The sequence below is a fragment of the Homo sapiens genome, chromosome 8, assembly GCF_000001405.40.
Source record: "Homo sapiens chromosome 8, GRCh38.p14 Primary Assembly".
Taxonomy (NCBI): Eukaryota; Metazoa; Chordata; class Mammalia; order Primates; family Hominidae; genus Homo; species Homo sapiens.
The window spans coordinates 42,424,640-42,451,578 of NC_000008.11; the positions used below are offsets into that span (position 1 = coordinate 42,424,640).

General features: G+C 46.1%; 1 protein-coding gene across 16 annotated transcripts in view; it reads right to left on the reverse strand.

The window, feature by feature from the left end:
- SLC20A2 (solute carrier family 20 member 2) overlaps positions 1–26,939 on the reverse strand; it is a 125,480-nt gene that overhangs the window by 8,165 nt on the left and 90,376 nt on the right. For all 16 annotated transcript variants that reach the window (XM_024447237.2, XM_017013748.2, NM_006749.5 and 13 more), the window contains 5 exons: positions 20,007–20,123; positions 14,811–15,014; positions 12,350–12,938; positions 5,425–5,610; positions 4,119–4,203 (listed from right to left, as the gene is read on the reverse strand). In XM_024447237.2, the coding sequence (XP_024303005.1) occupies positions 4,119–4,203; positions 5,425–5,610; positions 12,350–12,938; positions 14,811–15,014; positions 20,007–20,123 (1,181 nt within the window). The remainder of the gene's footprint in view (positions 1–4,118; positions 4,204–5,424; positions 5,611–12,349; positions 12,939–14,810; positions 15,015–20,006; positions 20,124–26,939) is intronic.

Below are 26,939 nucleotides of genomic sequence, written 5' to 3' on the forward strand. Positions count from 1 at the left end.
TGATAACAGGACTTTCCTAATTGTTTTTTCCCAAGTTATACCTTCAGTTCATATATCACATAATATAGTATGGTTTCATAAATGTTTTGAAATAGGCTACGACAAAATTGAAACTATGCACTTAGGCCGGGCGCACTGGCTCATGCCTGTAATTCCAGCACTTTGGGAGGCCGAGGCAGGCAGACCACTTGAGGTCAGGAGTTCAAGACCAGCCTGGCTAACATGGAGAAACCCCATTTCTACTAAAAATACAAAAATTAGCCAACCATGGTGGTGCATGCCTGTAATCTCAGCTACTCAGGAGGCTGAGGCAGGAAAACTGCTTGAACCCAGGAGGCGGAGGTCGCAGTGAGCCAAGATCAAGCCACTGCACTCCAGCCTGGGCCACAAAGCAAGACTCTGTCTCAAACAAAACAAAACAAAACAAATCTATGCACTTAGCCATGTACACTTAGAAGGAAGCATAAATCAATAACATCTACCTAGATACATTAAAAACCTCATTTTAAACAATAGTTTCCATCTTATTTCCTGCCAAGTCCCCAACTTCTCCCTACTTTCTATTAGATGGCTCTAAGCATGAAACTTAAAAATCAAACACAGGATAATTATCCTGAAAACTGATGCAATTCAACTATGACTCTATGTGGACATCAATACCCTTTCAATGTTTCCAGATTCACAGTCTCACTTACAGAGGGCCCCATTCTTCACGCCATCCCACAGCTCTCATAGTTCATCCCACGTTTGCCATTTGGGGACTGTTGTGTGCAGGGGAAATATGTGATATGAGAGAATAAGTGTTATGGGGTAATGACAACTGTGAGCTCTTCTCAGCACTTCTATTATTTGGACTCTGATGAGAGCCATCTGCTCTCCAACTACACGGCAAGTTCCTGAGAGCTGAGACTCTGTCCTTAGTGCTCACAGGGAATAGCTCTAGGCTTTGTCCAGAAGTCCACGATCAATGATATCGGACAAACTTACTCAAATCCAAGTTGTGACCTGTCTTGTCAATTTTATAGATGGCACCCTGCTGCAGTCCCATTCAGGGAGACCTGCTTTAAGTGCCAAGAAGCTATCCTAATACTACTCATCACCAGCTCAAAGGAAACAAAACTGGCTGGGCACGGTGGCTCATGTCTGTAATCCCAGCACTTTGGGAGGCTGAGGCGGGCGGATCACGAGGTCAGGAGATCGAGACCATCCTGGCTAACACGGTGAAACCCCGTCTCTACTAAAAATATAAAAAAGTAGCTGGTGGTGGGCACCTGTAGTCCCAGCTACTCAGGAAGCTGAGGCAGGAGAATGGCATGAACCCAGGAGGCGGAGCTTGCAGTGAGTGGAGATGGCGCCACTGCACTCCAGCCTGGGTGACAGAGCGAGACTCCATCTCAAAAAAAAAACCTTATCATGTACTTTGTACAGGTATTTTAGGATAATGATAACATATACATCTATTCACTAAGGTCCTGTACAAACTGGATGTAAATCTCTTAGTCACACATCATTATAGTATATATATCAATACAGTATTGGGGAAATCATGCATATAGATAATTCAAGAGTTTGGCTTTTTAAATAAGCATTTTATACTTTTCATCTATTCCTATAAACTGTATTCTAGAGTTTAGTGTTATTAGCAAAATCAGTACTGTCCATTCCAACACTGTATACAGTATACATACAAACGGATTAGACTGCTCATACAGTTAGCTAAGTAGCACCAACCTGGAAGAACCAAACCTGTGCTGTTTTTTCAAAAGCTCTTTCAGGCCAGGCACGGTGGCTCACGCCTGTAATCCCAGCACTTTGGGAGGCTGAGGCAGGCAGATCACCTGAGGTCAGGAGTTCGAGACCAGCCTTGCCAACATGGTGAAGCCATGTCTCTACTAAAAATACAAAAATTAGCTGGGTGTGGTGGTGCATGCCTGTAATCTCAGCTACCCGGAGGCTGAGGCAGGAGAACTGCTTGAACTCAGGAGGCAGAGGCTGCGGTGAGCTGGGACCATGCCACCGCACTCCAGCCTGGATGAGAGTGAGACTCCATCTCAAAAACAAAACAAAACAAAACAAAACAAAACAAAAAAAAGCTATTTCAACTGGTGTAGAAGAGTCTGCCTTCAGCAGTCTTGCTTTAGTGTAGGTTAATCATTAAAAAGATGGCATTACATCTGTTTAAAAGCATTCCAAAAGACAACTGATGCCTATAGAAAAGTCATAAGCCCGTGTCCTTGGAAAAGAATGTATTTAGTGACACGCGTCTCCTCCACGCTCCACACACCACAGTGAATGGAAGTGATGTGGAGTCCAGAGAAGATGTCACTTTTCATTCCTTATAGTCTTGTATTGTTTGAAATATTTCAGTGAATATGTGCTTCTCTGGTAAGTTTTAAATAACCCACATTAGGAAACTCACAATGAATGGGTGGCGGGCACACCTGCACCTCTTCCTGCCTTCCTTCCCCATGCTTGCCAGGCGGAGCCGGGGAGGAGGACGCTGGCCATGCCGTCCATGTGGGAGCCTCAGCTGGGCTGCTCCCTGGCTGTGTAATCTCGGGCACGTTACTTAACTTTCCTCTGCCTCAGTTTCCTCATCTATGAAGCTGGGGAAGCTTCTTGGGGAGACCACCAGTGGAGTGCTTGCCCCAGGCACCTTGGCCATGGTCGGGCACCACAATGGTGCTGATGGGGACCTGAACGAGAAGGTGTGTGGCCTGAGGTGAAGATCTGAATCCTGGATCTATCACATGTGGCTGTGTGCATGTGGGAAGCGGCTCAACTCTGAGGGAACCCAGTCTCCTCACCTGTGGACTGGGAGTGACAGTTCCGCCCCCACAGGCTTGCTGTGGAGAGGGAACGGTGTGCCATGCGTGTGGTGTTGAGCACGGTACCCAGCACTCTCCTGATGATCAGTAAGTGGGGGGATTTGTATACAGAAACTTTGTGGAAATTGAAGTATTTCTGTATATGGTAGCAAAAAAGGAAAAAACAAACTCTTTCCACTGAGGCTGATTCTTCATGCGTGGAGCCCCAGCTTTGAAACACGCTGCTGGGCCACTCCAGATACTCTTGTGAGGGCCACCTGACCTGGGTGTTTGAAGCATGAAGCCACTTGCCTTTGCTTGGCGTTGTCTTTTAAACATACTGGCTGGAATCTTAAAATTGTGAGTAAATAGAAACGTGGGTGGCTGTGTCTGTTTTGAGGGCTCATATATTCCTCCTGGTGCTGAGAGCTCTGCTCCCAAGCAGCAAACACCAATTAGTTTTTCTTGAATAATACAAATGAATGAACCTAGGAAAAATCTCAAAGTGACTTTCGCTTTGTTGAGACTGGTGAGTTTGTCTGTATACAGAGGCTCACCTGAGCTATTTTAGAAGTATCTGCAGATACTGGGCAGAGTTGGGTGATGAGACCGGGGCTCTGGTCCTCCCCACCTGGGTTCTGGTCCTCCCCACCCTGGCCACCTGTGGATCACTCCCTGAAACTCCCGGAACCCATTTCCTCTTCACTGGTCTTCAGGGCTCCTCCCTGCAGCTCCAACTTTCCACACCATGACCAGGAGCCCTCTCTTGTCCAGCTGCAGGTTTCAGAGCACTCCGCAGTGGTCAGTATCAGCAATTACCCCTCGTGGGGAATTTATGGCAATATAGTCACTTTGAACATCATATAAGGAACAAAACCAGAAACAACTGTGTCCTACAATTCCAGAGATGATTTGTGTTAATTTCTAACACTGTCAACCCCCAGTCCCCTCATTGGCTGGACCAAGTGGCAGGCTCCCAAGTGAGCCCACAGGTATGCCCAGCGCACACAGGATGCCAATCAAACTCCACTGTGGAAACAGTGGGAGGATAGCAGGCCAGTCCCAGGCAGGCCAGCCCTGGCATTCTGCCTTGGAAAAGCCAGGTCTGAACGAGAGATAGTGTCGTCCTGCCGAGAGGAGGACGGTGGAGGGAACAGATGGAGGAATACAAGGTCCCGGAGACCTGGAGAACCTGGAGCTGCATTTTGCACAACCATCTACAGAGCCCTACAGCTTCCCTTGCATGCGCTCCGGTGGCCCTGGACCTGTCCCAGCGGCCTGGGGAAGGGCTCCCGGCTAGCAGGGGCCTACCTTACAGTGCGTGGTGCTGACTGGAAGCCCGATGTTGGAGGCGATCACCACTGTGAAGGCTGAGGCCAGCTCGATCGTGAAGCCGCTGTGGGGGGAGCATGAGACACGTCACAGGTGCCCTCTGTATCAGCCTCCCTGACACCCCGTGGGTGCTAGAGGCTCACCAGAACATTCTCTGGGGTGACTGCCGACTGCTGACTGGGCAAGATCAATTTTAACAGAACAAGAGGCCGCTGCTCAACAACAGCAATTCCCACCAAGGCTGCATTTTCCTGTGCATGGGCCCTCAGCAGCCTGGCCTTCTGATACGTTTTCAAAGACCACACACTGCAGTAACTGGGCCAGACATTCCTGCTGTGCAATAAGATAGTAAATCAGTCATTTCTAAAACGCAAAGGAAAAACTATGCTCTCATTTTAAAAATGTGCACTAATTACAAAAGAGTGTATTTTTCTCGGATTACGAATTTTTCTTCAAATCAATCTTCTAAACTATCTTTTATTGAAATGAATTTCAAGTGAGAACTTAAAACTAGAAATTTTAAGTCTGTGTGTATATAGGAGGCTCACTGGAGCTATTTTAGCTTTCTCTGCAGATGCGGGGCAGAGCTGCGTGATGAAACCTGGGTTCCGGTCCTCCCCACCCCAGCTGCCTTTGGATCACTTCCTGAAACTCCCAGAGCCTGTAGGAAAAGGAAACTTCCCACATGTTTTAAAAAGACAGAGATTTCCTACCACAGGTGGCTCCAAATTTTGGTCATATTCTGAAAGTTCTGGAAGTTCCTTTAACCCCTGATGCAGCTGAAGGCTATGCGGTTGAGAGACCACATTTAAAGCCTCCAGAGCTCACCCACAATGGCAGGGGGCGCCTCCCTGTCTGGCAGAGCAAGAGGAAAGTAACCCCAGCAGGGTGGTTGCTGAGAGCTGGGGTGGCCAGAGAACTTTCAGGAAAGGCCAGCCCAGGGGCCTGTTTAAGTCTGTGCCCTCCCTGCCCACCTGCCTTTGGCCCCCGTGCTGGCTGAGGGTGAGCTTCTCCTCTCTTCCCTGCCTGCTCTGCTCCACTACCCCTGCTTGTCTGCCCTTCCCACTCCTCATCTCAGGGACGCTGTGGCTGGGGGCCGGGCACAGTAAGGGAGGGCAAGGATAGGTGGCATGCTAGGTGGGGCCATTCTTGCCCACTGTCTCCTCCTCCCTGTGACCCGCTGCCAACTGCCAGTGCTGAGCAGGCCGTTCAGACACAGCCGGGAAGCTCTACCCAGGCCTCGGATGACAAGACCTGCCCTGCTCGTCCACCAGCCCAGGCTTACCTGGACGGCGTGATGGGAGTGAGGTCCTTCCCCATGGTCTGGATCACTCTTCTCCCCCAGACCCAGAGGCCTGTGCAGATTCCAACTCCTCCATAAAACAGCAGCCAGACGGGTGTAGCTGCTTCTTGCGTTACCCCGCCTTGTTTGTAAATCAGCCACAAGGCTACCAGGGGACCGATGGCATTACTGGGAAAAATAAAAAGAGAAAAGATTAACTATATATGCAAGCGGCAATGTACATGATACAGGTGACTTTGTTTTATTGTGCTTCACTTTATCACACTCCACAGATATGATGTTTTTCTTTCTTTTTTTTTGAGACAGAGTCTTGCTCTGTTGCCCAGGCTTGAGTGCAGTGGTGTGATCTCGGCTCACTGCAACCTCCACCTCTCCGGTTCAAGCGATTCTCCTGCCTCAGCCTCCTGAGTAATTGAGACTACAGCCGCGGGCCACCACACCCAGCTAATTTTTGTATTTTTAGTAGAGATGGGGTTTCACCATGTTGGCCAGGCTGGTCTCGAACCCCTGACCTTGTGATCTGCCCACCTTGGCTTCCCAAAGTGTTGGGATTACAGGCATGAGCCACTGTACCTGGCCTTCAGATAGGATGTTTTTTATGAATTTGAGGTTTGTGGCACCCCCACACCAAGCAAGTCCGCTGGAGCGACTTTCCAGCAGTATGTGCTCACGTCATGTCTCTGTGTCACATTTTGGTAATTCTCACAGTATTCCCGAATTTTTCATTATTATCATATCTGTTATGGTGATCTGTGATCAGTGATCTTTTATGTTACTATTATAATTGTTTTGGGGTGCCATGAACTGTTCCCATATGAGACGGTGAGCTTCACTGATAAATGCTGTGTGTGTTCTCCCTGCTCCACTGACCGGCCACTGCCTTGTCTCTCTCCCTCTCCTCCAGCCTATTTCCTGAGATATTGCTATATTGAAATTAAGCCAATAAATTACCGTACAGTGCCCTCTAAGTGTTCAACTGAAAGGAAGAGTTGCATGTCTCTCAGTTTAAATAAAAAACTGGAAATGATTAAGCTTAGTGAGGAAGGCATGTCAAAATCGGAGACAGGCCAAAAACTAGGCCTCTTGGGCCAAACAGTTAGCCAAGCTCTGAATGCAAAGGGAAAGCTTCTTGAAGGAAATTTAAAGTGCTACTTCAATGAACACATGAATAATAAGAAAGCAAAACAGCCTTAGTGCTGATATGGAGACAGTTTGAGTGGTCTGGATAGAAGATCAAACCAGCCACAACATTCCCTTAAGTCAAAGCCTAATCCAGAGCAAGGCCCTAGTTCTCTTCAATTCTGTGAAGGCTGAGAGAAGTCAGGAAGCTAAAGAAAAGCTGGAAGCTAGCAGAGGTTGGTTCTGGAGGTTTAAGGAAAGAAGCCATCCTCATAGCATAAAAGTGCAAGGTGAAGTAGCAAGTGCTGATGGAGAAGCTGCAGCGAGTTCTCCAGAAGATCCATCTAAGATCACTGATGAAGGTGGCTACACTAACAATAGATTTTCAATGTAGAAGAACAGTCTTCTATTGGTAGAAGATGCCAGCTAGGACTTCCATAGCCAGAGAGAAGGCAATGCCTGGCTTCAAAGCTTCAAAGGACAGGCTGACTCTCTTCTCAGAGGCTAATGCAGCTGGTAACTTTAGTTGAAGCCAATGTTCACTTACCATTCCAAAACTCCTATTGCTCTTAGGAATGATGCTAAATCTACTCTGCCTGTGCTCTAGAAATGGAACAACAAAGCACATCTGTTTACAGCATGGTTTACTGAATATTTTAAGCCTACTGTTGAGACCTACTGCTCAGAAAAAAATATTAATATTTCAAAATATTACTGCTCATTGACAATGCACTTGGTCACCAGAGAGCTCTGACGGAGATATGCAAGGAGATGAATGTTGTTTTCCTGTCTGCAAACACAGCATCTGTTCTGCAGCCCATGGATCAAAGAGCAGTTTGACTTTCAAGTCTTATTACTTAAGAAATACACTTTGTAGGGCTAGAGCTGCCATAGATAGTGATTCCTCTGATGGGTCTAGGGAGTCCATTGAAACCTTCTGGAAAGGATCCCCCATTCCAGATGCCATTAGAACATTCGTGATTCATGGGAGGAAGTGCAAATACCAACATTAACAGGAGTTTGGAAGAAGCTGATTCCAACTCTCACAGATGACTTTGAGGGATTCAAAACTTAAATGAAGGAAGCCACTGCAGATGTGGTGGAAACAGCAAGAGAACTAGAAGTGGAGTCTGGCGATGTGACTGAACTACTGCAATCTCATGAAAGAACTTGAAAAGATGAGGAGGTGCTTCTTATGGATGAGCAAAGAAAGTTTCTTGAGATGAAATCTACTCCTGGTGAAGATGTTGTGAACATTGTTGAGATGACAACAAAGGATTTAGAATATTCCACAAACTCAGTTATCAGAGCAGAGGCTGGGTGTGAGGGGATTGACTCCAATTTTGAAAGAAATTCTACGGTGGGTAAAATGTTATCAAACTGCATTACATGCTGCAAAGAAATCTTTTGTGAAAGGAAGTTAATTGATGCGGCAAATTTCATTGTTGTCTTAATTTAAGAAATGGCCACAGCCACCCCAACCTTTAATCACCACCACCCTGATGAGTCAGCAGACATCAACATCAAGGCCCAGACCCTCCATCAGCAAAATAATGAATTGCTGAATGTTCACAGGATTGCTAGCATTATTTTTTAGCAATAAAGTATTTTCAAATTAAGGTATGTACATTGTTTTTAAGACGCATTTAATAGACTATGGTATACTATTACAGAAACATAACTTTTCTATGTACTGGGACACCAAAAACTTCATGGGTATTGTGAAACTTGTTTTATTGTAGTGGTCTGGAATGGAACCCACAGTGTCTCCCAGGTGTTCCTGTACATGGTGACTTTTGTCTTGAGCATAGCTCAACTTGGTGTATTTGAGGTTCACCTATATAATCTATTCATGGTCCAAATGATTTTTTTTTAATTTTGGTAAAAAGCATAACATAAAATTTACCATCGTAATCATTCTTATTTATAGTTCAGCAGTGTTAAGTATATTTACATTGTTGTGAAACAGATCTCCAGAACTTGTTCATCTTGCAAATGTGAAACTCTGCACTCTTTAAACAAATTCCCACTGCCCCTCCCCGCAGCTAATGGCAACCACCATCCTACTTTCTAGTTCTAGGAATTTGACTGCTGTAGACAGCTCATAGAAGTGGAATCATAGAGTATTTATCTTTTTTTTTGAGATGGAGTCTTGCTTGGTTGCCCAGGCTGGAGTGCAGTGACATGATCTCGGCTCACTGCAATATCCTCCACCTGGGTTCAAGCAATTCTCCTGCCTCAGCCTCCTGAGTAGCTGGGATTACAGGCACGTGCCACCACGCCTGGCTAATTTTTTGTATTTTTAGTACAGATGGGGTTTCACTGTGTTAGTCAGGATGGTCTTGATCTCCTGACCTCATGATCCGCCCGCCTCAGCCTCCCAAAGTGCTGGGATTACAGGCATGAGTAGTATTTATCTTTCTGTGATGGTTTATTTCACTTAGCCTAATGTCCTCCAGGTTCATCCATGTTACAGCAAGTGACAGGACTTCCTTCTTTTTAAAGGCTAAATAATATTCCAGTGTATGCATGGACATAATTTGTTTCCATTCACCTGGCAGTGGACATCTGGGTTGTTCTCCCCTCTTGCCTATTGCAAACGGCAGTGCTTTGAACATGTGGTACAAATATCTCTTTGAGACTCTGCTTTCAATTCTTCTGTATGTATACCCGGAAGCAGGAATGCTGGGTCATAGGGGAGGTCTGTTTAATTTTTTGAGGAGCCTCCATCCTGTTTTCCATAGTGGTTACACCATTTTACACCCCCACTAATGGTGCACAGGGTTACAATTTCTCTACATCCTTGACAACACTTGTTACTTTTTTTTTTAAGTGGTAGCCATCCTAATAGGTGTGTAATTTATTATTATTATTTTTGAGAGAGTCTCCCTCTGTTGCCCAGGCTGGAGTGCAGTGGCACAATCTCACCAGGCTGGAGTGCAGTGGTGTAATTTCGGCTCACTGCAACCTCCGCCTTCTGGGTTCAAGTGATTCTTGTGCCTCAGCTTCCTGAGTAGCTGGGACCACAAGTGCCCAGAAACAGGCCCAGCTAATTTTTGTATTTTTAGTAGAGGTGGGGTTTCACCATGTTGTCCAGGCTGGTCTTGAACGCCCGACCTCAGGTGATCCACCTGCCTCGGCCTCCCGAAGTGTTGAGATTATAGGCGTGAGCCACCACACCCGGCCTATTAAATGGATTATTTTTTTTTTTGAGACAGTCTCACTCTGTCGCCCAGGCTGGAGTGCAGTGGCATGGTCCCAGCTCACTGCAAGCTCTTGTCTCCTCCCCCAGCCAGCTGTGTAGACTGGGTATCACTGAGTCACTGAAACTGGATTCCAATTTGGCTTTGGTTTTGCTGTGTGGCCCTGAGCATCAGATCCCATCTCTGAGAGACACCCGCCCCTGGCTCAGAGGGATGTTAGAGACAGGGTGGGATAGGCCATGGCAGCTCAGTGCTGAGGCCTCGGGGCTCAACCTCGTGCTGAATGCATGGACGCCTCTTCTCACTCAGATGACTTCTAGAATGGTGCTTTCACCAGACGCTCTCCCTGCTCCAAAGCCCCAGAATAGTCCCCACGCTGCAAGCAACTCTTCGCAATTCTACAGTCACCCCGAGCAGCCACTGCCTAGATGCTTCCTTTGAAATGAAACATGGTGTGTGTGTGAATGTGCGTGAGTCCATGTGTGAGTGTGCGTGTGAGTGCGCATGTGAGTGTGTGTGCGTGTGTGTGTGCATCTGAGTGTGTGAATGTTAGAGAATGTGTTGTTACTTTTCCACGGATATGTTTTTCTCATCTCCCTAACTGGCGTTTAAACTTCTAATGGACGAGGACCCAGTTCCTAGCGCTCTGCCAGTACCAGGCCTTCTGGAAAGAATGCTTGATGAGGAGGAGGAAGTGGGACGGTGTGGGGGCAGACAAAAAGTTACTAACATAGGACAGAGCATGCTGTCTCCAAGAAAATACCAAATAAAATACCACAGAAATGCCCATATGATGCTGAGCAGAACATAAGATGCCCAGGTTCATCTGCAGCGAGACTTCTTTTACGAACAGCAGAGTTGCAGCTGCACGTGGGGAGGCAGTGTGCGTAGCCCATGGGGAGTCACTGACTGCGACAGAAGACGACAACGGCACAGTCCCCTGAAAGGTCAGTGGACTCACCATGACCGTGATGGCAAGAGCAGAAACGGACAGAAACCGAGCGAGTGGGGAGCACCATCCTGAGCATATTACACAGGGGAAGCCTGGGAGGTTAGGACTCGTTTTCCCCCATTTTACAGATTGGGAAACGGAGACTTCGGAAAAGCACATGCCTTGTCTAGGGGTTACACAGCTGTAAGACGACAGCAGAGACCCAAACTTGGGGCTCTCAGGCCCCAGGAGGCCGCCCTGCTTCCTACACACCAGGCCTGGGCGTGGGGTGGGGCAGGTGGGGTGGGTGGGGTCAAGGTTGGAGGGTCATATCTGCCCATCCCTACACACTCATTTGCAGGATGCCTGCGACATTACCATGTGGAGTGACCTGCAGGCTCGGGCGGCAGCTCCAGCGGCTGCATCGTGCAGTGGGGAGAACTAGGGCCCACGAGTGGGACGGAGCCTTCTCACTGGGGTTGAAGATGTCACTGAAGGATGGCCGGGTGTGGTGGCTCACACCTGTAATTCCAGCACTTTGGGAGGCTGAGGTGGGCGGATCACCTGAGGTCAGGAGTTTGAGACCAGCCTGGCCAACATGGGAAACCCCGTCTCTACTAGAAATAGAAAAATTAGCCGGGCCAGGTTGGGGAGCCTGTAATCCCAGCGGCTTGGGAAGGCTGAGACAAGAGAATCACTTGAACTTGGGAGAAGGAGGTTGCAGTGAGCTGAGATTGCGCCACTGCACTCCAGCCTGGGGAACAGAGCGAGACTCCGTCTTAAAAAAAAAAATTAAATCACCTCCTAGGAAGTTCTCCTAGCGTCCTGGTTCAGCATACCTTCTGGCTGTTTCCTCGGTCTGTGCACTCTGCCTCCTGCCTGCCTGCCTCACTGCCCCAGTGCTCCTCCACCCACGTTACCTGCTCTGCACCCAGCCCGGCCTGTCCTGAACTCGGGCGTACACGGCCGCTGCCTGCTCAACCTGAATAGCAGCATCGCGCCCTGGCTGCATCCAGGGCCTCCGTCATCCCTAACAGACAGCAGCTCCACTCTTGCCTTTGCCAAGGCCACGGCTCCGATCTTGGCAGCTGCCTCTTTCCTTCTTCTCTCACATCCGCATCCAGGCCGTCGTCCAAAGCCAGTGCCCCTGTCAAACGTGCCCTGTGTGGCCCCTGTCAAATGTGCCCTGTGTGGCCCCTGCTCACAGCTCCACGGCTCCCCTCTCGAGGCGAGGCCTTCCTTCCTGTGTCCATCGGCCACGTGCTCTGCATCCACGACCTGCAGACCGGCGACCTCCTAGCTTGTCCTGGAGAACACAGGTGTGTGCCCGCCTCAAGACTGCACCTGCCGTCCTGCTGACGCCACGTGGCCGCCCCTGCACCTCCGTCACCGGCCAGCCCTTCCCTGGAAGCCCAGGTCGCACTGCCATCCTGGCGGCTCCTGCCCTGTGTCTATCTACCTTACTTTCCTGTTAACACTGCTCGCTGTCCCGCACGCAATGCTGACTTATGGGTCTGTCCACCGCCTGCGCACCCCTATCCCTGGCAGGGACTTCCATCGGTGCCGTTCACTGCTGGATCCCGGCACCCGCACAGCGCTGGCCCCTGGCGGAGCCTCAAGGACCCTTGTTGAATGAATGAATGAAAGCACCCACCTCACGTCATTGCCGCCGTGAGCAAAGGACCCGAAACAGGCGGTGAGGACCTGCAGGAAATGGAACAGGAGGTGAACCTCGGGTGCGTCCTTCTCCTCCTTCTCCTCCTCTGCAGGGTCCTCTCGCGGCTGGTCAGGGTCGGCCAGCTCCGACGCCAGCTTCATCTCCACGCCGCCCTCCTCCGCCTCGATCTCCGCCTCTGCCACCGCGTTACAGTAGCTCGAGTAGCTGTCGTAGCGCAGCCTCTTCTTGGAGTAGGACACGGTGTCGCCCACCAGCTTCTCACTGTCCTCTGGGGCCGATGAGTCCGCAGCTCGAAAGGTGGCGTGCACTGGCAGCCCACAAATGGCTGCGGTGTAGCAGGTGTAACTGTTGTTTCGGCGCAGCAGCCGGTAGTTGCTTTCCTGGGCTGGCTTCTCCTCGGGGCCCCTGTCGATGTGGATTTTGTGCAGCAGATCTTTGTAGAGCCCCGAGTCTTTGTGCACGGTGTGGTACACATGACCGTCGCTCCTGGTGTGGCCGTCGAAGCCGAAGGTGCCGTTGGAGATGGGCGATTTCACAGAGCCATGGGTCATGGACAGTGCTCTTCCTGAAAAGGGTTAGAGAAGGTCTCATTTTCCAGTCTTTTTTTTTTTTTTCTTTTCTTTTTGAGACGGAGCCTTGCTCTGTCCTCAGGGTGGAGTACAATGGCGCAATCTCGGCTCACTGCAACCTTCGCCTCCCGGGTTCAAGCGATTCTCCCTCAGCCTCCTGAGTAGCTGGGACTACAAGCGCGACACCATGCCCAGCTAACTTTTTTGTATTTTTAGTAGAGATGGGGTTTCACCATGTTGGCCAGGATGGTCTCAAGCTCCTAACCTCATGATCCGCCCACCTTGGCCTCCTAAAGTGCTCGGATTACAAGCGTGAGCCAACGTGCCCAGCCCCAGCCTTTCGAATATAAGCGAAGGAAACACTCCCTACTATTTCATGGCACTTATCTCCAGAAGGCTGGGGATGACTTATTAACATATACTTTCTTTTCTAAGTTGGCCATAAAGGACATGTAATATGGTTACCACTAAAAAAAAAAACCAAAAAAAAAAAAAAAAAAAAAAAAAACATGGAAACATACAACAAAAGGGTAAAACTAATAATGTGGTATTTTCAAAACATCTTAAGTTCTCCTAAAAAGTGTCTTCCAGAAATTACTATGGCACTTGGCACATTTTTTCTGTTTCTAGAAACCAACACAAGGAGAATCTTTTTAAGAAACTCATCTTAGAGAAACTTCATACATGAGACAAAACCCACTTCGTGTGAGGTAGATATTCCAGGTGCCTCTGTTTTGATTTTGTTTTTAGAGACAGGGTCTCAGCTCTGTCACCCAGGCTGGAGTGCAGTGGTGCAATCATAGCTCACTCCAACTCCTGGGCTCAAGTCATTCTCCCGCCTGAGCCTCCCAAGCATCTGGGACTACAGGTGTGCACCATCATCCAGGCTAATTTTTTAGGTGCATCTTAAAAGGTCAGTCATGAATGTCAAAGGCAGTATCTGAGATGAGTCAGGCAAAATGAATTTGCTTTCTCTGGGCCACATCTGAGACTGCACCTGTGGTAGGCAGGTGCCAGAACCCACCTTGCAGAGGTGGCAGTCACCAGGGCAGGCTTTGGTGAAGCTGTGCTCCCCTGGCACTGCCCACAAACATTGAGAGTCTAAAGGACACAGAATGGTCTGGATTTTTTCTTTTCTTTTCTTTTCTTTTTTGAGATGGAATCTCACTCTGTTGCCCAGGCTGGAGTGCAATGGCGCAATCTCGGCTCACTGCAATCTCTGCCTCCCAGGTTCAAGTGATTCTCCTGCCTCAGCCTCCCGAGTAGCAGGGATTACAGGCACCCACCACCATACCCAGCTAATTTTTGTATTTTTAGTAGAGATGGGGTTTCACCATGTTGGTCAGGCTGGTCTTGAATTCCTGACCTCAGGTGATCCATCCACCTCGGCCTCCCAAAGTGCTGGGATTATAGGCATGAGCCACTGCACCTGGTCAGTCTGGACATTTTCTAAGGTTTCTGTGATTCAATGGTGGGACCACCTCCTTGGTTACAAATTTAGCTTTCTCTTTGCATCTTCCATAGTAAGCTGGGTTAACCAACGTTCAGCAATTCGATAACTCCTGGGGCATGGAGATCTGCATATGTAGCTGAGTGGGTGCAGCACAGACATACAGTGCGTGGCCCCAGTGCCTCCGGTTAGACTATAAACAGCTCTTGGAAGAAATCACAGGACAAGAGTGAGCCTGCTCTGCTGACTACGAAATGGTTTCCTGAGGCCTCCCTAGCTTCTGGGTTTTCTCAAATTATAAAACTGGGGGATCCTTTTGTGCATTAAAACCAGATTGCCCACACCCAGGCCCAGCTGGTCCTCCCCAGGGAACTTCTCTGTGCTGCCACAGAACCCAAGCTCTCCAGGCACATCTTACCGTATGCAGCCCGAGGGTGGCTGCCCGCAGAAGTGCCTTCCGAGGTCCCCAGTGTCTCCCCTGCTGCTCCCGTGAGCGGGATGGTGCTGTCATCATTAGCCTTGGCACCTGGTAGCTCTTTAAATACTGGGGACTCTGCTTCCTGAACCTTACTGAGGCTTTCGTCAGATACTCGTGATAAAGCACCTTCTTTTTGTAATTTGCCTAAAGAAAACAAAGTCATACTGAACATTCTGGAAGAGAGTTCTTATTATTGAAACATGAATATTAAAAAGTGAATCTATATCTTTATGCTTTAGCACTGATTTTGGAAACAAAAAAAAAAGTTATAGCTAGATAGAGAAAATGAAGTTGAGGCCAGGTGTGGTGGCTCACACCTGTAATCCCAGCACTTTGGGAGGCCGAAGCAGGTGGATCACCAGGTCAGGAGTTTGAGACCAGCCTGGATAATATGGTGAAACCCCGTCTCTACTAAAAATATAAAAATTAGCCGGGTGTGGTGGCAGGCGCCTGTAATTCCAACTACTTGGGAGGCTGAGGCAGGAGAATCTCTTAAACCCAGGAGGCAGAATTAGCAGTGAGCCAAGACTGCGCCACTGCGCTCCAGCCTGGGTGACAGAGTGAGACTCTGTCTCAAAAAAAAAAAAAGAAAGAAAAGAAAAGAAAGTCAAAAGTTCAATTAATTACCTGGAAAACTCTAGCCAGAAAATTCAGCAATTGAGGAAAAGATGGAAATTTAGGGCCCGAGTTATCATATCCAAAAACAACAACCAAAAAAGGGTCAGATCCGAATACCACAGTTCCCTCCAGCACTAATGTTCTGTAAATCTATAGCCACCCAGACTGGCCTTCTGTTTTCTTAAACTAACCTCAGAATCAGAAATTTCAATTTCTGAAAAATTGCCTTTTTCAGAAAGTCACATAAATAAAATAATAAAATATGCGATTTTTGAGACTGGCTTTTTCTACTCAGCATAATGCCTTTGAAATCCATCCACGTTGTTACATGGATCAATAATTTGTTCCTTTTAATTGCTGAGTAGTATTCAAATGTACAAAGGCACCACAGTTTATTTATTCTGTGGATAATGTGGGTTTTTGGAGATTGCATATAAAGGTGCTATAAACATTCATGTGCAGATTTCTGTGTGAATTTAAGTTTTCATTTTTCCAGGGAAATATCTAGGAGTGGTTAAGAGTATATTTATGGCAAGTGCTAGCCATATAAGAAGCTGCCAAACAGTTTCCCTGTACCATTTGACATTCCCATCAGCAACGTACGAGGTTCCAGTTCCTCTTCATTCTTCTAAATACTGACAAAATTTAGTACTGTCAGTATTTTTCATTATTTATTTATTTATTTATTTTTGAGATGGAATCTCACTCTGTCACTCAGGCTGGAGTGCAGTGGCTCTATCTCAGCTCACTGTAACCTCCGCCTCACGCGTTCAAGCGATTCTCCTGCCTCAGCCTCCCGAGTAGCTGGGACTACAGGTGCGTGCCACCACGCCCAGCTAATTTTTGTATTTTTAGCTGAGACGGGGTTTCACCATGTTGGCCAGGATGGTCTCGATTTCTTGACCTCGTGAACTGCTCGCCTCAGCCTCCCAAAGTGTTGGGATTACAGGCGTGAGCCACCGTGTCTGGCCCCATCTATCTTCTTTGGTGAAGTGTCTATTCAAATATTTTGCTCTTTTTTTTTTTTTTTTTTTGAGATAGAGTTTCACTCTTTTTGCCCAGGCTAGAGTGCGCTGGAGTGCACTAGCGTGATCTCCGCTCACTGTAACTTCCGCCTCCCGGGTTCAAGTGATTCCCCTGCCTCAGCCTCCTGAGTAGCTGGGATTAGAGGCACCCACCACCATACCTGACTAATTTTGTATATTTAGTAGAGATGGGGTTTCACCATGTTGGCCAAGCTTGTCTCGAAATCCTGACCTCATGATCCGCCCACCTCGGCCTCCCAAAGTGCTGGGATTACAGGCATGAGTCACCGTGCCTGGGCTATTTTGTTCTTTTTGTTTGTTTGTTTGTTTGTTTTGAGACAGAGTCTTACTCTGTTACCAGACTGGAGTGCTGTGGCGCGATCTCGGATCACTGCAACCTCTGACTCCATGGTTCAAGCGATTCTCCTGCCTCAGCCTCCTGAGTAGCTGGGATTACAAGCATGTGCCACCACGCCCAGCTAATTTTTGTATTTTTAGTAGAGATGGGGTTTCACCATGTTGGCCAAGATGGTCTCAATCTCCTGACCTTGTGATCCACCCACCTCAGCCTCCCAAACTGCTGGGATTATAGTCGTGTGCCACTGCGCCTGGCCTATTTTGCTCATTTTTTAATTGAGTTATTTGTTTTCTAAAATGTGTTTTTATTTTTTGAATACAAGTCCTTTGTAGTTATGGGATGTGCAAACATTTTTTCCCATTCTGTTCCCGGTGCTTCTCACAGAGCAATAGTTTGAAATTTTGATGAAGTACAATTTATCAAGTTGTCCTTTTTTTTTTTGAGATGGAGTTTTGCTCTTGTTGCCCAAGGGGAGTGCAATGGCACAATCTCGGCTCAATGCAACCTCTGCCTCCCAGGTTCAAGCAATTCTCCTGCCTCAGCCTCCCAAGTAGCTGGGATTACAGGCATGAGCCACCACACTTGGCTAATTTTGTATTTTTAATAGAAACAGGGTTTCTCCATGTTGGCCAGGCTGATCTCGAACTCCCGACCTCAGGTGATCTGCCTGCCTCAGCCTCCTAAAGTTCTGGGATTACAGGCGTGAGCCACCATGCCTGGCCCAACTTGTTCTTTTATAGAACATGTTTTTGGTGTCATATCTAAAAACCCTTTCTCAACCCAAGGTCACAAAAGTTTTCCCTTATATTTTTTTTCTAAAAGTCTTATTGTTTTTTAAATTTTATATTTAGATCTATGATGCATTTTAAGTTAATTTTTAAAATAAGGTTTAGGTTAATGTTCTTATTTTGGCATATGGATGTCAAGTGTTCCAAAACCATTTGTTGAAAGACTGTCCTTTCTCCATTGAACTGTTTCTGTACCTTTGTTTAAAATCCATTTGCCACATTAGTGTGGGTCTATTTCTAGACTCTATTCTTGTTCCATTAATCTATGTGTCTCTCTCTTCCACACTGCCTTGTGGCTTCATAACAAGTCGTGAAGTCAGGTTAATATGAATCCTCCAACTTTTTTCTTTTCCAAAATTGTTCCAGCTCATCTAGTTTCTTTGACTTTCTACATGAACTTTAAAAGTGGCTTGTCTAAATCTACAAAATATCCTGCTGGGATTTCTATTTAAATTGTCTAAAGTCTAGAGATGAATCTAAGAACTGGCATCTCTACTATACTGTCTTCCAATTCAGGAGCATGCTTTGTCTCATGTATTTTGGTCTTTTTCAAAAAGTGAATTTCCAAATGCAGATATATCCATACCAAAATGTGACCCTATGGTACATGCTGAGACCAAATGTAAATATCTGTTTTTTGAGAGTTCTGTAAAAAGCATGTGGCTTCAAGGCTTGAAATTCAAATATGGGGAATTGGGAATAGGAAAACAGCCTTGGCTGACTTCCTAAGCCATATTCTTCTTCTTTTTAAAAACTGTTTTCCTTTTAATAACATGTGTTTTATTTTTATTGCTTCGTTTTATTATATATGTTATAATTACTATAACTATAATAATACAATTATTATAGTACTATACAGTAGAGTACTATATTGTATATTATACTATACAGTTATTGTATAGTATAATTGTATTATACCACAGTATAATTATTACAGTACTATAATAATACAATTATTATTATAGGATATATATATATATATATATATATATATATATATATATATATATAATAAAATGTATACTTTTTTTTTTGAGACGGAGTCTCGCTCCGTCACCCAGGCTGGAGTGCAGTGGCACGATCTTGGCTCACTGCAACCTCTGCCCCCCCGGGTTCAAGCAATTCTCCTGTCTCAGCCTCCCGAGTAGCTGGGACTACAGGCACCTGCCACCAGGGCCCAGCTAATTTTTGTATTTTTAGTAGAGACAGGGTTTTATTTACCTTGTTGGTTAGGCTGGTCTCCTGACCAACGAACTCCTGACCTCAGGTGATCCACATGCCTCGGCCTCCCAAAGTGCTGGGATTACAGGTGTAAGCCACCATGCCCAGCCAAAAATGCATACATTTTAAGCATCCAGGTTATGACCTGCCGCAAGTGGGCACACTCTAAACCCCTTCCCTGATGAAAACAAAGACATTTCATGTCCCTGATAAGTTCCTGAGCTGCCTTCTCCAACCCCCACCCATCCCAGGCGATCAGTGCTTTCTGTTGCTATAGATGAATTTTCCATATTCTTAAATTTAATGGAAAGATCCATAAAACTTTTAAATAAAAATTTAAGAAAATGTTATGAAAAATGCCAGCATGCAGAATAGGTGCTCTTCCGGATCATGGGCTTCTGCTCAGTATCACGGCTGTAGGATGCCTTCAGCCGTCAGGTCCCCAGCAGTTCATTCTCTCTATTGCTGCGTGGTCGTCCATCGCATGAATTTACTCAATTTGGTTACCCATTTGCCTGCTGACCAACACATGGGTTGTTTCCACTTTGGGCTATTATGACAAAAAGATTTGTATACAAGTCTTTTTATGAACACGTTTTCATTTCTTTGGATAAATAGCTAGGAGTGAAATTACTGGCTCACATGGTAAGTGTAAGGTGAACTTTATAAAGAAACTGCAAACCTAACTTCCAAAGTGGTTGCACCATTTTAAATTTCAGCATAAACCTGGGAGAGTTCCAATTATTTCACTTCTTCACCCACATATGGAATTGCAGGAACTTTGTACTCTTAGCCATTCTTGTGAGTGGGAAACAAAATCTCCTTGTGGAGTTAATTTGCATTTCTATGAAGGCTAATGTTTTTCCACAGGCTGGCAGAACTGCACTGCACGGTTAACTTCCAGTTACTCATGGCAACTGGGACCTTGCTGCCCACCTGGGTTACAACTTATCAAGAAAACGTATGAGCCAGAAAGCACTCAGGAACGGAGAGACAGAGGATGGGGTATGTTCTGGAGTCACCCACACTTCCATTTCCTCCATTAGTAAGGATCATGGCATGTTACATGTGAGGTTTTGGGAATCGGGAGCATTTCTGTAAATCAGAAGAATTAAAAGGCCCATACCTGTTATTTTCCTCCGCATCCACGGACACACGAAGAGCCACACAAAAAAAGCGAACAGGAGGGCGACACCAAAGGAAATGAGGGCTATGGCCCACATGGGGAGAACAAGGCCGAGCACTGGGAAGGAAAATGAGAAGCAGTGTCATTACTGGAAACTTCTGCAAGGTCAGGCCTCAGGGCGGTGGACTTCCCACTCCCCAAATCGAGAACGAATCACCTGGATTTTGTAGTGAATAAAACTCTCAACTAAAAAAACATGCTATACTTTTTGGAGTAGAAAGCTGTATGTTCAAGACATCTTATATCTGGCGAATATGTGCTTAAACTAGTTAGTAAGCTAATTATTAAAGTTTTACCAACTGGGGGCCAGGCATGGCGGCTCACACCTGTAATCCCAGCACTTTGGGAGGCCAAGGTGGGAGGATCACCTGAGGTCAGGAGTTCGAGATCAGCCTGGCCAATATAGTAAAACCCCATCTCTACCAAAAATTCAAAAATTAGCTGGGCGTGGTGGCGCATGCCTGTAATCCCAGCTACTCGGGAGGCTGAGGCGGGAGATTCGTTCGAACCTGGGAGGGGGATGTTGCAGTGAGCCGAGATTGCACCACTGCACTCTAGCCTGGGCAACAGAGCGAGACTCCATCTCAAAAAAAACAATAAATAAAATAAAAATAAATAAATAAAATTTTAACAACTGGGCACAAACAGCATATTTAAGTTGGGATGAAATCCATTTACATATTATTTCAATATCTAAATGGCTGCACAACAAATGTGGCTGAGAAGGGAGTCAGCTGAGGTCGGGCATGATGGCTCCCGCCTATAATCCCAGCACTTTGGGAGGCCGAGGTGGGAGGATCACCTGAGGTCAGGAGTTTGAGACCAGCCTGGCCAACATGTTGAAACCCTATCTCTACTAAAAATACAAAAACTTAGCCAGGCGCGGTGACAGGCGCCTGTAATCACAGCTACTCAGGAGGCTGAGGCAGGAGAATCACTTGAGCCTGGGAGGCGGAGGTTGCAGTGAGCTGAGATCGCGCCATTGCACTCTAGTCTGGGCAACAAGAGTAAAACTCCATCTCAAAAAAGAAAAAGAAATAAAGAAAAAAAAAGAAAGGAGTCAGCTGTCTTCCATCCTGATGCCCACCTCAGCCCAGCCCACCTGCGGCAGGAAGCTGCCATCTGGACACTGCCTGGCTCCGCAACTGAGGCCTCTCCTAGTTCCTCAGCAGCCAGTAGCCCTACTTTAAACGGACATGTGCCCTAACCACATACACAGAACTTCTTTGAAATCAATTGAGAAATAAAAGGATTTTTGTTGTTGTTTATTTATTTTTATTTTTACTTTTATTTTTTTAAGAGACAAGGTCTTGCGATGTTGCCCAGGCTGGTGTCAAACTCCTAGCCTCATGGGATGTTCCTGCTTTGGCCTCCCAAAGAGCTGGGATTACAGGCATGAGCCACCTGGCCCAAGGAATAAGAGTTTTTTAAAAGGACACTGACCTTCAATTCTAACTCTTCTTTGAAGCATCAACTTACGGAATTACAGTGCAGAAAAACTTTTCACTCAAATCCCATAATGCACACTAAGCAATAATAACATTAGCCAATCCAAGGGTGGAAGTGCACATGGTTTGAGAACGTCATCTTTTCATAGCACTGTCATGTCTCCAGCCCTCATCACCCTGAATTTTGTCCATCTGCTGTCAATGGTGACAACAGGCACATTCACACACATTCATATGTGCACAACTTGAACACTTATGCTCATACATAAACTCACAGGTAGTTATGCAAGAATACTCACCACAGCATTATTTGTAATAGTAATAATTTGTAGAACAACTAATATATGCATCATTATGAAAATGTGAAGTAATTACTGTAGACAGTCTTATGAATTATGCAGGTCTATATGTACTGATAAGGAAAGAGGCCCAAGATCCAATGAGTAATGCAGGCTAGTTGTATGATATACACATGGCATGATGCAATTTATGTTTGAAAAATAAAACATCCACCTTTCCACATTCCCGTCATATCTGTGAATTTACAGAAAAAGTTCTGGGAAGATACAGTGGTTTCCAATTTCTTTATGGAGAGATGGGAGACTGGAGTGGGAATTTCACTTTTTATTACACATACCTTTATAGTGGTAACTTAAAAAATATATACAATAAGATAAGGATCTGGGAGAATTTACTAAAAAAAGTAAAAAACAAAATATAAAAAAGAAAAAGAAATAAAAATATATATACTATAAGAATGTCACTTTTGTAAATTGTTAAAAAATTTAATTCAAAGGGGTTAACTATTTAACACTTTGCTCTTAAATAAATTTGCAGTCTTTGTTTTATTGTTAACCATTTTATACATAGAAAGCAGCACAAAGTTACTCAGCTGAGGTACTATTAGGCTTGGCAGGGTGCCTCATGCCTGTAATCCCAGCACTTTGGGAAGCTGAGGTGAGAGGATCACTTGAAGCCAGGAGTTCAAGACCATCCTGAGCAACATAGTGAGACCCTGTCTCTACAAAATAAAAACAAAAAGATTAGCTGGGAGTAGTGGTGCACGCCTGTAGTCCCAACTACTTGGGAGGCTGAGGTGGGAAGATTTCTTGAGCCCAGGAATTTGAGGCTGCAGTGAGCTATGATAGCGCCATTGAACTCCAGCCTGGGCAACAGAGTGAGATCCTGCCTCAAAAAAAAAAAAAAAATTAACATACTATAAAAAAAATTAACATACATTTGGGCTGGGTGCGGTGGCTCATGCCTGTAATCCCAGCACTTTGGGAGGCCAAGGCGGGCAGATCACAAGGTCAGGAGATGGAGACCATCCTGGCTAACACGGTGAAACCCCGTCTCTACTAAAAATACAAAAAAATTAGCCAGGCGTGGTGGTGGGCACCTGTAGTCCCAGCTACTCCGGAGGCTGAGGCAGGAGAATGGCATGAACCCGGAAGGTGGAGCTGCAGTGAGCCAAGATCACGCCACTGCACTCCAGCCTGGGCGACAGAGCGAGATTCTATCTCAGAAGAAAAAAAATTTCTTTTTTATAATTGTAAGAGATAGTATGAATAGAATAGGTAGTTAATACTATATATAGTCAGAATTAATGTATATAAGTATTAAAAACAAAAATCCAGAATCACCTAGCACAGTGATAGCTAAGGTCACTGGGGGAGGACAGGCACTTAACTGCTCAGCTCCCATCCCCCTGACTACATCAGAAGGCTGACTCAGCTCTGCCACGCGGCTGTACTGACACCAGCAGGCCCCATCCAACTCAGGCTCTGCCCCTGCACCCAAAGCTGAGAGCCGCTTGTGCGACCCCTTGGTTGGTTGCACTGGGCTGTGTCTGGGGCCAAGGCTTCCCAGCGTCTGCTGTCCACCTTCATGTAGGGGTTCATACACGCAGCAAAGGATTGCACCAAAGCTGGTTCTTGCCAACTCGAATGGTACCCGCTCTTTACCAACGTCAAACTAACAACTGACGCCAACACCGATCCCACGCATGGCTTCAAAGCATGGTTCCTGAAGAGGTTTCCCTGCTTCTTCTGTGGTTTTGCTGATGATACAATTACTAATTGTGCTACTTTCGGCTTAGCGCTACTGCGCCAAACTGATCTAAGAGAGGCAAACCCTAGAGACCACAGGGAGAGAGAAACAATCTGGGATACATATTTTAAAAATGAGTGAACGCTTTTGCTATCAGGCCCTATTTTTACCATTCATGCTGAGCAGGGCCCGAAAGAGAAGTCAAGAAGGGCTACTTGATGGGCTCCTTCTAGGACCACGCCAGGCTCCCAGCAGGGTCACATGGGGTCCCAGATGGTGTCAGGACCACCACCAAAAGGGTGAACCTGAGGTCGGGGGCAAGACTTCTCACCCTGTGCTTCGACTTAAGATAATATCACCTGCCCTTTGCACCTTTGCCGTCACACCTGCCTCTACCACTGATGTGGCCTGGGATACAGCCAGAAAACTCTGAAATCACCTCCCAGTCATGAGAAACTGGCAGGGGAAGCAGGAGAGAAACGCATCACCCAGGGGAAGTGGTGGGGAGACAGGGTAACACGTCACGGAGGAGGAAGAAGAGAGAAGGAATCTGGGAAAACAGGGGAAGCTGTTCACAGTAGGTGAGAGGGGGAGCAGAATGGGGACAGGATCTTACTGAAGTATTCCAGCAGTTTGGTGATTTAGCAGAGAATCAGATGAGCACAAGGATTTACTTTTAAGGCCTGCATGTGAAAAAAGTAAACTGACAGTTACCTGTGTTACACAGCTCCAAATTGTACTAAGTATATAAAATCCAGTTTCGTGGATAAAAAACAATTCAATACAAAGATTCAGCACAGGACAGCGCCTGAATCAATGCACACCCAAGGCAAACGGTTTTTCTCCTAAAAACTCAAGACTGGCTTCTACACAACAACATTTTTGACAAAAATACTTTCTATTAAATTGTCTTTCTGGTACGGATCTCGAATTGTTTCCAAACAATTATGGCTACGTCAGGCAGTAAGACATGGCCGTCATTTCCCCCTGCGGATGGACATACTGGGGCACAGCCTCAGTGGCTCGTGTTCACTCAGCCAAAAGTAGCTGCCAGGAACCCGCGCAAGGAGCTCTGGGTCTCCGTTCTCGGTTTTAGCCACTAAAAGGCGCAAATGTCAAGCGCCTTTCATTTGCGGAGCAGCTAAGATACGATGAATAGTGATTTAGCTCTAACCTCAAGCATCTTTACAATTCTATTCCAAATTCCCAAAAGATTAGACGAATATTCAAGCCATTTAGGGAGAAATACATAGAACTTTTTATACGAGCTCAGTCTCCATTGTTATTGCCTTGTTGTACTTCTTGTTTTTCACATCTAACACTCATGACTAAGGATCTATAAACAAATAAAACTTATATGGGACCAATAAGGCTTTAGTCTATATCAGTTTCCTTATATCATGACCCATCATCTCCCTACAATCTTCCTTCTTATTGACTCAATGCAGATTCTTTGTCTTCATTATATAAATAATCCATGCTTATCGTAAAAATATCAGCAGTACCTACAAAATTGTATGATGTACAAATATGAACCTTCCTCATCATCCTCCCCTCTTCAACTTACTTCCCAGGGAGACAGTAAGAACTATTTGGTGTGTATGTTTCCAGGCATTTTCTAGGTAGGCACAGACACCATGTCGAACATTTATTTTTCTTTTTTCCTTTTATTAAACAGAAGCAGAATCCCACTATATACTATTCTATGCTTTTGTTTGTCACATAACAATATGCTGCGGATATCTTCTCATAGTAAACATTCACACTTATGTGTGCACACACATGCACACACACAGAGATTACCTCCTTTGTAGAACTGCTCTAATATCTTGCCTTATAAATTGAGCTTTGTCTTTTGCTCTAGATCAATATATTCAAAGCATTAGAGGAGCTACCTATGTAATAGGAATTCTGAAACAACTTAGTTGAGAAAATAAAATAAAAAATGTGATTTCCTAATTTGCTCTATAAGTAAAAAATATATATATATATTTTTTGCACATGGTACCAAGTATTTTTTTTTCGTTCGTTCTTTTTTTTTTTGAGACTGAGTCTTACTGTATTGCCCAGGCTGGAGTAAAGTGGTGCCATCTTGGCTCATTGCAACCTCTACCTCCCAGGTTCAAGCGATTCTCCTGCCTCAACCTCCCAAGTAGCTGGGATTATAGGCACATGCCACTATGCCCAGCTAATTTTTGTATTTTTAGTAGAGATGGGGTTTCACCATATTGGCCAACCTGGTCTCGAACTCCTGACCTCAGGTGATCCACCTGCCTCAGCCTCCCAAAACTGCTGGGATTACAGGCATGAGCCACTGCGCCCGGCCTCTTTTTTTGTTTGAGATGGAGTCTCGCTCTGTCGCCCAGGCTGGAATGCAGTGGCTCAATCTCCACTCACTGCAGCCTCCGCCTCCCAGGTCCAAGCAATTCTCCTGCCTCAGCCTCCTAAGTAGCTGGGATTACAGGAACTCACCACCACACCCAGCTAATTTTTGTATTTTTAGTAGAGACAGAGTTTCTCCATGTTGGCTAGGCTGGTCTCTAACTCCTGACCTCAGGTGATCTGCCTGCCTCTGCCTCCCATAAGTGCTGGGATTACAGGTGTGAGCCATGAGCCTGGCTGGTACCAACTTTTTCAAACCAGGGTACATTTGTAATAATTTTGAAAATGAGGTGAATTTAAATGACCCTGTTTTGAATCCAGCTCTTGGTGATAACTGGAGACTCTTCTCACCCCAGGGCTTCCCCAATCCAAGACTAGGAATCACTGTAACGGCAATTTCTGGCTTCTCCACAGCCTGCACTTCACAATCACAGCATGGAAGAAAGAGGCCTTCTGAGTGCAGGGCTCCTTCTCACAAAGCCAACTGGCAGCCTGAGAGGTTTCTGATGTCCTGGTTTCCTAGAAACTGGATCAGAAGCAGCTGCAACTGGAGGAGGAACAGGGGGAGGAGGAAGAGGTGGAAGAAGAGAAGGAGGAGGAAGATGAGAAGGAAGAGGAGAAACCAGAGGAGGGGGATGAGGAGGAGAAAGGGGGCAAAGGAGGAGGAGAAACAGGAAGAAGAGGAGGAGGACAGGGAAGAGAAGAGATGGAGGAGGAGGAAGAGATAAGGAGGAGGAGGAAGAGATGGAGAAGGAGGAAGAGATGGAGGAGGAGGAAGAGATGGAAGAGGAAGAGATGAAGAGGAGGAGGAGGAAGAGATAGAGGAGAAGGAGTAGGAAGAGATGTAAGAGGAGGAGGAAAAGATGGAGGAGGAAGAGGAAGAGATAAAGAGGAGGAGGAAGAGATGGAGTAGGAGAAGGAAGAGATGAGGAGGAGGAGAAGGAAGAGATGAAAGAGGAGGAAAAGATGGAGGAGGAAGAGGAAGAGATGAAGA